The sequence below is a fragment of the Homo sapiens genome, chromosome 12 (assembly GCF_000001405.40).
Source record: "Homo sapiens chromosome 12, GRCh38.p14 Primary Assembly".
NCBI classification, from domain to species: domain Eukaryota; kingdom Metazoa; phylum Chordata; class Mammalia; order Primates; family Hominidae; genus Homo; species Homo sapiens.
In genome coordinates, this window is record NC_000012.12 from 45,472,980 (window position 1) to 45,486,015 (window position 13,036).

The following is a 13,036-nucleotide window of genomic DNA, read 5'->3' on the forward strand; positions in this document are numbered from 1 at the left end:
TTCTTGCCATGTGATGTGCCTGCTCCCCCTTAGCTTTCCGCCATGATCGAAAGTTTTCTGAGGACCCCCCAGAAGCAGATGCTGCTGTGCTTCCTGCAGAGCCTGCAGAACCATGAGTCAATTAAACCTCTTTTCTTACAAATTACCCAGTCTCAGATATTTCCTTATGGCAATGCAAGAATGGATTAATACAGAAAATTGGTACCAAGGAGTGGGACACTGCTAAAAAGATACCTGAAAATGTGGAAGTAGCTTTGGAACTGGATAATAGAGGTTGCAAGAGTTTGTAGGGCTCAGAAGACAGGAAGATGAGGGAAAGTTTGAAACTTCTTTGAGACTAGCCAAATGGTTGTGACCAAACTGCTGATAGTGATGTGGACAGTGAAATCTAGGTTGCTGAAGTCTCTGATGGAAATTAAGAACTTATTGGGAACTAGAGCAAAGATCACATGTGTTATACCTTAACGAAAAACTTGGCTGCATTCTGTTCATGCCCTAGGGATCCACGGAAGTTTGAACTTCATAATGATGATTTAGGATATCTGGTGGAAGCAATTTATAAACAGCAAAGCATTCAAGAGGTGGCCTAGCTGCTTCTGACAACCTACCCTCTGATGTGGGAACAAAAGAATGACTTAAAGTTAGAACTTATATTTAAACAGGAAGAAGAACATACACGTTTGGAAAAATTGCTGCCTAGCCATGTGACAAAGAAAGAAAAAGCTTTTTCAGGAGAGGATTTCAAGCAGGCTGTGAAGCAACTACTTGCTGGAGAAATTTTCACAACTGAAAAGGAACCACATGCTAATAGCCAAGACAATGGAAAACAAGGCTTCAAAGGCATTTCAGAGATCTTTGAAGCAGCCCCTCCCATCTTAGGCCCTGAGGCTTAGGAGAACTTAATGGCTTCAGGGACCAGGCCAAGGGCCTTACTGCCCTGCGCAGCCTTGGGACATTTTTCCCGGCATCCTGGCTGCTCCAGCTCCAGCCTTGGCTCAAAGGGCCCCAGATGCAGCTCAGAATGCTGCTCCAGAGGGTAAAAACCATAAGCCTTGGGGGCTTCCCTGTGGTGTTAAGCCTGTGGGTGCAAGAGTACAAGAGTTGAGTCTTGGGAGCCTCTGCCCAGATTTCAGAGGATAAATGGAAAAGCTTCGGTGTCCATGCAGAAGCCTGCTACAGGGGCAGAGCCCTCACAGAGAACTCTACTAGGGCAATGCCAAGGGGAAATGTGGATTGTAGGCCCCACATGGAGTCCTCACTGGGGCATTTCTAGTGGAGCTGTGAGAAGGGGACCACCATCCTCCAGACCTGAGAAGAGTAGATCCACCAGCTGCTTGCACCCTGAGCCTGGAAAAGCCACAGGCATTGCATTCAACTCCAGCCCATGAGCGCAGCCTTGGAGGCTAAACTCTGCAAAGTCACAGAGGCAGAGCTGCCAAAGGCCTTGGGAGCCCACCCCTTGCATCATATGCCTTGGATGTGGGACATGGGGTCAAAGGAGATTTTGGAGCTTTAAGATATAGTGACTGCCCTGCTGGGTTTCAAACTTTGACGGGCCTGTAGCTCCTTTCTTTTGGTCAATTTCTCCCTTTTGGAATGGGAATGTTTATGCAATGCCTATCCCCCCATTGTATCTTGGGAGTAACTAACTTGTTTTTGATTTTACAGGCTCATAGGTAGAAGGGATTTGCCTTGTCTCAGATGGGACTGTGGACTTTCGAGTTAATGCTGAAATAAGACTTTGCAGGGACTGTCAAGAAGGCATGATTGTATTTTGCAATGTGAGAAGGACATGAACTTTGGGAGGGCCCAGGGACAAAATGATACTGTTTAGGTATTTGTCCCTGCCCAAATCTCATATTGAAATGTAATCCCCAGGGTTGGAGGTGAGGCCTGGTGGAAGGTGTTTGGATCAAAGGAGTGGATCCCTCAGGAAATGGCTTGGGCCATCCTCTTGGTGATAAGTGACCATCCACTTGGTGATAAATGACCTTCCACTGAGTTCACATGAGATTCTGATCATTTAAAAGTGATTCTCATGATTCTAGGCAGTTTTGTAACCTGCCAAAAGCAGAAAAGTGAAGAGTGGCACCTCCCCACTCCACCCCTACTTTCTCTCTCTCTTTCTTTCTTCTCACCATGTGATGTACCTGCTTCCCTTTGCCTTCTACCACCATTGGGAGCTTCCTGAGGACTCCCCACAAGCAGATGCTACCATGCTCCCTGTGCACCCCGCAGAACTGGGAGTTCATTGAATCTCTTTTCTTATAAATTACCCAGTCTAAGATATTTCTTGATAGCGATGCAAGAACAACCTAGCATACTATACTTCGATAAATGTTTAGTCACAGACACTGAAATCTGAATTTCATAACATTTTCAGAGGTCAAAAATAATATCCTCCTTTTGGTCTTTTCAACCAATGAAAAATGTAAAAACCATTCTTAGCTCACAGACCATACAACTACAGTATCTGCCCCATGTGCTTGAATTTGTGGACTTCAGTCCTAAATGAGAGAGCTTTTCCACAGAGACATGGAGTCACAACATATAGGTAAAGAAAAGCAAGCTTTAGTGCCATATCCTGGTCTTATGTAATCCAATGGAGAAAACAGGAGAAGATTCCTAGCCAAGAAGAGGAATTAAAGATTCTCATGATTCCAGGCAGTTTTGAACCTGCTGAAAGCAGAAAAGTGAAGAGGAAATCACCCCATGTCATCTGGTTGGGAACAGCTCATCTCAGTGGCCCTAAAATGGGGTACCTCTGGCTGCTTTCTTTATTGTGGAAGCCAGGTGCATTCTGATTCTTATTCTTACTCAGAGCTCAGGCATGTCAAGTGAACCAGGTGCAGAAACTCACCAACCCCTTTAAGATATAAAGCTAAATGCTGATCATGTTCTTAGCTTTCAAGTATAATACTCATAACTAAACTCAAACTGCTGTATTATCTTCAAGCTAAGTAAGCTAACCATATATTAAAGAACTACAGGCTTCAACTACTTGAGGGACAATATAGAGATCAAAGAAAGGTAGTGTCATTACAAAGTGACATTTGCTTAAGAAGCTTTGAATTATCTCTAAACTGATCTTCCTGGATCTCCTATCAAGATCCACAAACTCAAATGATTGTCCCCAGACTAAGGATATGTATAGAGAGCCGAAGATACATATCACTATATATGCTCTTCAGTGCTCTTTTGATAAATTATAATTATATGTATATAACTACTTATATCAAAGTATTTCACTCTTGGGCTATGAACTACTTGAAGCTAGGGATCTTATCTTATTCATCTCTGAAATCTCAGTATCAACTACAATTACTATCATATAGATAAATCCGAATAAATATTGGTTGAATGAGTTAATGACAAGGCCATAAACTTATTAAAACTATAATATGGAAGAGGCAATATTTGCTTCTGTGCAAAATACAAAACATTATCTTAAAATACACACCAAGGAGCACACTTTGTGTATGTGCCTATCTCTCAGAATAATCTGGAGACTAAGGAAGTCTGTGATAAGGTAAAAGCATAGAATTTCTTGCTTACTTACCTGACAACCAAGTGGGATTTTAGTCATTAAATACCCCTGTGGCAAACACTACAGGATCTGCTTAGCCGAAGCAATCCCCACCCCACTTTTCTCTTGCCACCTTCCACAGAACAAGCTGAAAAATATAAAAACTCACTTTCTCTGTCTCCCTTGTTGATAGGGAAGCCCATTTGACCACATTATGGCCAATGGACTGTAACCAGAAGTCTCCTGGGGATTCCTGGGAAATCTGTGCTTTTCTGATAAAGGCTCTGATAACTGCTGCCAATTCCCTCTTCTTCCTCCTTTGACTGGGGACAGCAGGAACCAATTTGCAACCATGAGGATAAGGCCAGAAGAATGCCAACACACTGGCCCTGGCATCATTGAGCTGCTGAACCAATACCCAAATCTTTCTATCTCCAGATTTCCTGTGTGAGAAAAGGTAACAATTTTTATTTAAGCCACTGTTAGATGATATTCTTTTTCTTGCAAATGAGCATACTTCTAATGGCTGAAAAGCCTATTTTGAAAAACAAAAACTCCTAAGTGCCAATTAATTAATCTCCAAATGTTACAGCACCATCACTAAATATTATCTTACTATTTTCTGTTTAACTAGAGGTTATTTGGGGGTCCTTTTAAAACGTTTATTCCCCCAGGTATCTAGCCAATTAAACCACTACCATTCACTGTTTCTTTAGCACCTCTTTGCACTTACTCTGAGCACTGTCTTCAAGAAAATCTTAGTTTCTTTCATTCAACTCTTTGAAGGATAAATACATCATTTTCCATAATCTATCTACTTTCCTTTTAAGTGATATGAATTTAGTTTATTTATTCAATTTGTTATGGCATATTTCCAGAAAAGATTTTTGGTGGGCACTGTCAATCTGAAGCTCTATGTCTTAGGTGGAATTTTACTTACATCAAAAGACAGGAGAGCTATACAGGAGATCCACAAGATAATGGACTAGTAAGCTCTAGGTCCTTGTTCCTCCATGGAAACATCAAATAACATATGGACCATAGTAGCTTTGGGAAACTAGTTAAGAAGTTGTACAAAACAAGTAAATACTAAGCCAAGAAAAAGCCACACTCAAAAGGGTAAGACATTTCATGGCATTTTTGCTCACCCTTTCCCTATGCTCTCCTTCATGCAGTGTAGCTTGCTTAAGAGGCAACCACTCAATTCCTGGTTCTTCCTCCCTTGGGACCAAAGAAAATGAGTGGAACTTGCTTGCAACATTCTGGCTTGTCTGAGGGATGCATGGGTGACTGGTTTATGTCTTGTGTGACTCGGACAGTGAATGGAAACAGTGCCATAGTTTAGATATCAGCTTGGAGGCCCCTGGAAGCAGGAATGGGCACTTTGGCATGTGATAACTACAGGAGGACTACAGACCTACAAGTACCTGGGGCAAGAGATCATGAGCAGAGAAATACAACAGAACATCTAAGGCCCTGAGAAGCAAGGTTGAGACTCACAGAAATTAAGATGTTTAAAAGCAGCCAGCTGGGCACAGTGGCTCACACCTGTAATCCCAGCACTTTGGGAGGCCGAGGCAGGCAGATCACCTGAGGTTGGGAATTTGAGACCAGCCTGACCAACATGGTGAAACCCCGTCTCTACTAAAACACAAAAAGTTAGGTGGGCATGGTGGCACACACCTGTAGTCCCAGCTACTCAGGAGGCTGAGGCAGGAGAATTGCTTGAACCCGGGAGGCAGAGGCTGCAGTGAGCCGACATCTCGCCACTGCACTCCAGACTGGTGACAGAGCAAGACTCCGTCTCAAATAAATAAATAAACAAAATAAAATAAAAGCAGCCATGCAGATGGGGGAATTGGAGGAGAAAGCACACATGGAAGACCAGGGAAAACATTCCCAGAAAAGATTCAGAGCCTTCATGCTGGACTGATTAATGAAGGTCTTCCCCTGCATGGAGCCAACCTGCAAAGACTGGGAGCGGTGCTATTTTCTCAAATCCCCAATTTTCAATAAAAGATTGCAATGCATACAAAGAAACAGGTGAATATGGCCAATTCAAAAGCAAAATAATAAATCTCCAAAACAGTCCCTGAAGAATCACAGGCCTCAGACTTACCTGACAAAAATTTTAAAACAACTTACATGTGGCCAATGAACATGAACAGAACACTAAACAAAATCAAGAAAATGACACATGAACAAAGTAAGAATTTCAACACAAAGATAAAAATTATTTTAAAAGAACAAAACAGAAATCACAATACCTAATAAACACAATACCTGAATTTAAAAATTCACTAAAAGGCTTCAATGAAAGACTAAAACAGGCAGAAGAAAAAAAATCAGTGAACTTGAAGACAAGTCATTTGAAATTATCAAGTCTGAGAAGCAAAAAGCAAAAATAAAATTAAAAAAAAGAGACAGAAAGCTTATTTGAAGAAATAATGGCCAAAAGTTCCCCACATTTGAAGAAATATATAGATACACAAATACAAGAAGCTGAACAAACTCCAAGTAGTGTAAGCTCACCAAGACACATTATAATCAAGCTGTCAAAAGACAAAGAGAGAGATTCTTGAAAGCATCAAGAAAAACGCAACTTGTCACATACAAGGTATCCTCAATAAGATTATCAGTAGATTTCTTGGCAGAAACCATGAAACCCAAAGAGAAACAGGATGATGTATTAAAAGTACTGAGAGAAAAAAACTGTCAACCAATAATTTTACATCTTACAAAACTATTCTTCAAAAATGTGGGAGAAATTGAGACATTTCCAGATAAACAAATGAAGAAGCTCATTTCCACCAGAACTGCCCTATAAGAAATACTAAAGTGATTCCTTCAAGTTGAAATAAAAGCATGTTAGACAGTTACGAAAAAACCATATAAAAATATACAGTTCTTTGGTAAAGGTAAATACATCAAAAAATACAAAACCAGTATTATCACAATGTGGTTCATAACTCCATTTTTGTTCTTCTACAAGATTTAAAAGCATAAAAAATAATGATAAATCTATACTAATGGTATACAATATATAAAGTAGTAGCCACAAAAATGAGAACAGGGAACCTGAAGCCCAAAGATGTACACACAACTAAGAATCACTAAACATTTAAGAAAAGCAACACCTTGAAAGAGGCACATCAAATAAACTCAAAAGTCAACACTTATACAAATAGAGTTAATAGGGCACAAAGAGTCTTTTAAAATGTCATATTAATATCTTCTGAGGGACAAGATAAGACATAATATTCACAAAATGAGAAGACCTTGATATAAAAAAGAACCACTTGGGCATCTTATAAATATAAACATAAATATAAAAATTAAACCATCAAGGTAAATAGATAAATAATATCTAAATTGTCAGTAGAAAAATGAGATAACTAAAGACCCAATTAAAAAGTGGGAATATTGAAAATTATTAAGTAATTTTTCAGCTTATAAAGCAAAAGGAAGACAGTAAAGAGATGTGGCAAATAACTCCAGAAACCCCAATATAAGTATGGTAGACACTGCAGAAGAGCAGGAGTGGAAAAATAGGAGAACGAAAAGAATCAAGAAGAGGAAATAATCGAAAGAATAATAGAAGAAAATTCCCCCCAAATCATATAGTTTCAGATTGATAGTGTCTACCAGAGCCTGGGATAATGAAAAAAGACCCAAACTAGATAGATACATCATAGTAAAAATTTGTGTATCAAAGATAAGGAGAAAAATCCTAAAAGTTTTCAGTGAACAGTACAACAAAACAATATTAAACAAACAAAATAACTGATGCCACCTACAAGGGAATGAGTAACAAGGATTTCATGCTGAGGAAAAGTGTACCTCTTCCAAATGACTACATTCTTTTCCCCTTTTAGTAAGATGGTTATGAAACCTATCATATTTCCTTTTTTGCCCTGGATGACAGGAAGCTATGATGTTTAAGCACTGGAGCCATGTTAACTAATATGCTAAAATATATGAATTTTATTTCCCATTCCTAGTTGTCAATTATTTTGTGTATTTAACTAGCATATAAGTATTTCTTTAAAATTTTTAAATTGTGGCAAAATACATACAGCATAACATTTACCGTCTTAATCATTTTTAAACGTACCTTTCAAAATAGTGTTAAAATACATTCACATGTTTGTGCAACCAATCCCCAGAACTCTTTTCTTGTAAAATTGGAACTCTATACCCATAAAAAAAGATCCCATTTTCCCTCCTCCCAACCCCTGCAACAAATATGATACTTTCCGTCTCTCTGATTTTGACTACTCTAGGTACTTTACATAAGACAAATCATATAGTATTTATACTTTTGTAAATGGCTTATTTCATTTAGCACAGTGTCCAGTAACACACCTACTGACCTTCATAGCTTAGCCTAGCCTACCTGAAATGTGCTCAGAATACTTACATTCGCCTACAGTTGGGCAAAATCATTTAACACAAAGCCTATTTTATAAGTAAACTCATGTTATGGGGGTTTGTTGTACAGATTATTTTATCACCCAGGTACTAAGTACACAATTGTTATTTTTTCTGACCCTCTCCTTCCTCCCACCCTCCACCCTCAAGTGGGCCCCAGTGTCTGTTGCTCCCCTCTTTGTGTCCATGAGTTCTCATCATTTAGCTTATAATTGAGAACATGCTGTATTTGGTTTTGTTTCTGCCTTAGTTTGCTAAGGATAATGGCCTCCACAAAGCCTATTTTATAATAAAGTGTGACACTTTACATATCTCATGTAACTTATTGAATACTATACTGAAAATGAAAACAGAATTATTATAAGGATACTCACCATTAATGTGTACAGATGAAAGCACACTGAGCCTGAAGAATGTTCAAAGCATTAAGCTAAAATTAAGTGCTGATAATGGGGATGCTACAGCTACAGAGTCATCAATTTCACTCTCTTCTGATGAGTCTTGAGAATAGCTGGCAGAAGGCACTGGGACACTGACACTTGTTTATGGTTTAGAAGGCAAAGTGTTCTTCAGGTAGATACCAAGTTTTGACAATATGTTTTTTCTTTTCATTACATATTTCTTCATTGCAAGGAAGAGCATCCTTTTTACTCCCATAGAGCTCTTGGATTAATAGGGAAAAAAGAAAAGGTAATAAGGCTGGCAAAGAACAGGAGAGACTATGGAACAATATGTGTGTGATAGCAATTGTAATTGTCACCCATTTGTCCTAACATTCACACACCACTGCTGATAGTAGAAAACACCGCTGCCAGTTTATTTGCTATGAACTTTCTTGGTGCCTCAGGAACAATTTCTTCTATCTTTGCCCCAACTTCTTTACTTCTTTCTTTTTCCAGCTTCTCATTGGAAAGCTCTTCAGCCTCGATGCCAACAAGCTTATGAATACGGCAGAATCTCTGTTAACATTTTGAATGTGTTCACATATGTCTTCAAAACTTTCTTCCAAATGCTGTTCATGCATGGCTGTGTGACTTCTTCCCATGCTGCATCGATGTTCCAGATAGCATTTAGAATGTTAAAAATCCCTCCGAAACGCTCAGAATATTTGGCCAGATTCAGTCACTTCAACAGCCTGTGCAAACATTTGATATAAATAGTATGCATTGAATACACAGTCCATAGAAACCATATTGCTTTTGCACCACCATAAGTTAAAAAAATCATTAAATTGAACAGTTACAGGCCAGGAGTGGTGGCTCACACCTGTAATGTCGGCAATTTGGGAGGCTGAGGTGGGAGGATCCCTTGAGCCCAGGAGTTCAAGACCAGCCTAGGCAACATAGTGAGACCCTGTTCTAAAAAAAAGTTAAATAAATAATTTTTTTAAAAAGCTGAACCATTGCAAGCTGGGGACTATCTGTGTGTGTGTGAGTGTGTGTGTGTGTGTCTGTATATATATGTAAAACTCAAAAGTCAATAGAGATATATATATATATATATATATATATATATATATATATATATATATATATATATATAAACACGTATATAGCAAATAAACTCAAAAGTCAACACCTATACAAATATAGCTAATAGGGCATAAAGAGCTTTTGAAAATTTCATATTAATATCTTCAGAGGGACAAGAGAACATATATTTATGCTGCTTATATAGCCTTCAGAACCACAATCTAAATAAGCCTTTTTTTCTTTATAAATTCAGGCCCGAGTATTCCATTATAGCAACACAAATGGACTAAGATAGGACTTGAATTGGCATTTCTCCAAAGAAGTTAACAAATGGCTGACAAGCATAGGAAAAGGTGGTCAACATCACTAATCCTTAAGGAAATGCAAATCCAAACCACAATGAGGTACCACCTCACACCCATTAAGATGGCTACTATCCCATACACACACACATATATATATATATTTATATATCTGAACCCCTGTTCAGATATATGATTTTATTTATATATAATATATATATTTATGCATCTGAACCTCTTTTCAGATGTTTTATTTGTATATAAATAGACATTATATATCTTATATATAAAAATATTTATGTTTATATTTATGTATCTGAACTCTGTTCAGATATATGATTTTATATATATATATTTATATGGGATAGTAGCCATCTTAATGGCTACTATAAATATATAAATAAATATATAATGTAAATTATATATACAATTATATAAATTATATTTTAAAATATACATTTTTAAAAATATATAATCCCATAAATATATATTGGACTTATATATATAAAGCCATATAAATAAACATGTATTTTTATATATAAATAAATTATATATATATCTATATATAGGATAGTAGCCATTTTAATGGGTGTGAGGTGGTACCTCATTGTGGTTTGGATTTGCATTTCCCTAATGATTAGTGATGTTGACCATCTTTTCCTATGCTTCTGAACAGCCATTTGTTTATCGTCTTTGGAGAAACGTCAATTCAAGTCCTATCTTAGCCCATTTGTGTTGCTATAAAGAAATACTCAAGGCTGGATTTACTTCAAAAAGAGATTTATTTGTCTTATGGTTTTGAAGGCTATATAAGAAGCATGGTGCCAGCATCTGCTCAGCTTCTGGTGAGGGTCTCATGCTGCTTTCACTCATGGTGGAAGGTGAAGGGGAGCCAGCATGCAGAGATCACATGGAGAAAGTAGAAGCAAGAGAGAGAGAAGGAGGTGCCAGGCTCTTTTTAACAAGCAGTGCTTGTGGAAAATAAGAATGAGAACTCACTCACTCCTGTGAGAATGGCACCAAGCCACTCATGAGGAATCCTCTCCCATGATCCAAACACCTCCCACTAGGCCCACCTCCAGTACTGGGGATCAAATTTCAACAAGAGACTTGGCAGGACCAAACGAACCATATCCAAATCACAGCAAGTCCTTTGCCTATTTTTTAAAAAGTTGTTTGGGTATTTTTGTTGTTGAGTTGTAGGAATTCTTTATATATTTTAGATGTTAACCCCTGTTCGGATATATGATTTGCAAATATTTTCTCCCATTCCATGGATTATCTTTTCACTCTGTCGATCATGTCTTTGATGCATGGAGGTTTTTAATTTTCCTGTAGTCCAGTTTATCTTTTTAAAATTTCATGAGCTGTGCAGTTGGTGTCATATACATGAAATCTTTATCAAATAAATGCCATATCATGAAGACTTTCTTCTATTTTTTCTAAGAGTTTTCTAAGGGTTTTATAGTTTTATCTCTTATATTTAGGTCTTTGATTCATTTTTAGTTAATTTTTGAAATGGTGCAAGGTAAAGTCCAATTTCTTTTTTTGCATGTAGATAACCTGTAAAACAATATAATACAGTTGTATTTTGCATGTTGATCTTGTATCCTGAAACCTTGCTGAACTCATTTATTAGTTCTAAGATGTTGTATGGAGATTTCTTGAGAGTATACAGGTTGAGGATTCCTAATCTGAAAATCTGAAATCAGAAATGTTCCAAATTCAAAACTTTTTGAGCACCGATATGATGCCACTTATATTTGGAAAATTCCATATATAAGTATCTAACATATAAGTACCTAACACAAACTTTGTTTCATGCACAAAATTATTAAAAATAATGTATAAAATTATCTTCAGGCTGCATGTATAAGAGACATAAATAAATTTTATTTTTAGACTTGGGTCCCACCCCTAAGATATCTCATTATGTAAATGTAATATTAAAAAAATCCAAAAAAATCAAAATCCGAAACATTTCTGGTCTCAAGCATTTCCGATAAGCAATACGCAACCTGTATTTCCACAAACTGGCAATGAACACACAAAAACCAAAATTTAAAATATAATATCACTTACAAATGCTCAAGAAATGACACTTCGGTGTTATGGCAAGCAGGTAGCATGTGAAAAAGAAAAACAGCATTCAAAAAAAATGACACTTAGGTGTAAATCTAGCCACACATGCACAGTACTTGTATTATGAAAATTTTAAAATGCTCATGAAAGAAATCAAAGAAGATCAAAATAAATGGAGAGACATATCATGATTATACATTGAAATACTCCACATCGTAAAAATTTCAATTCTTCCAAACTATTATGTAGGTTGTGTAACATATAGAAGTTGCATACATATAACATGCATATTACATATAAGTATATATTTGTGTTTATAATATATTACAGATGTTTATATGAGCCTATTTCCCATAAGTCCCTTTATAGATAATAAAATATATTACATACATATATATATATTATATACAGGCATCCATCATTTTATTGCACTTCACTTTATTGTGCTTAGCAGATATTGTGTTTTTTTACAAATTGAAGGTTTGTGGCAATCCTGCATTGAGCAAGTCTATCAGCATAATTTTTTCAACAGCATATACTCACATCATGTCTCTGTGTTACTTTTGGTAATTCTCACAATATTTTAAACTTTTTCATTATTATTATATCTGTTAGGATAATCTGTGATCAGCAATCTTTGATGTTACTATTGTAATTGTTTTGGGGTGCCACAAGGCACACCCATATAAGACAGGGAACTTAATTGATACATGTTTTGTGTGTCCTGACTGCTCCACCAACCAGCTGTTCCCTTATCCCTCTCCCTCTCCTCAGGCCTCCCTATTTCCTGATACACAACAATATTGACATTAGGCCAATTAATAACCCTACAATGGCCTCTAAGTATTCAAGTGAAAGGAAGTGTTGCATGTCTCTTACTTTAAATCAAAAGCTAGAAATCACTAAGCTTAGTGAGGAAGGCATGTAGAAAGCTGAGACTGGCCAAAAGCTCAGCCTCTTGTGCCAAACAGCCAAATTGTGAGTGCAAAGGAAAAGTTATAAAAGGAAATTAAAAACGCTACTCCAGGGAACTCACAAATGAGAGGAAAGTCAAACAGTCTCATTGCTGATACGGAGAAAGCTTCAGTGGTCTGGACAGAAGATCACACCAGCCACAGCATTTCCTTAAGCCAAACTCTAGTCCAGAGCAAGGACTAACTCTCCTCAGTTCTGTGAAGGGTGAGGGAGGTGAGGGAGTGGCAGAAGAAAAGTTGGAAGCTAGC

At 37.3% G+C, this 13,036-nt stretch overlaps 1 long non-coding RNA gene across 2 annotated transcripts in view, besides 1 other annotated feature; it reads right to left on the minus strand.

Annotated features, from left to right (window-relative positions):
* Positions 1-13,036, minus strand: part of LOC105369743 (uncharacterized) — a 178,153-nt gene that overhangs the window by 82,288 nt on the left and 82,829 nt on the right. For both annotated transcript variants that reach the window (XR_944886.3, XR_944887.3), the window contains exons 4-5: positions 8,332-9,092; positions 3,696-3,969 (exon numbers count right to left, since the gene is read on the minus strand). This is a non-coding gene — a long non-coding RNA (uncharacterized LOC105369743). The remainder of the gene's footprint in view (positions 1-3,695; positions 3,970-8,331; positions 9,093-13,036) is intronic.
* Positions 550-1,065: an enhancer, noted in NCBI's record as "NANOG hESC enhancer chr12:45867312-45867827 (GRCh37/hg19 assembly coordinates)". NCBI's record gives its function as "activates a minimal SCP1, AML or CMV promoter by ChIP-STARR-seq in naive and primed H9 embryonic stem cells {active_cell/tissue: H9 hESC(naive and primed)}" and the evidence as "EXISTENCE:reporter gene assay evidence [ECO:0000049][PMID:30033119]".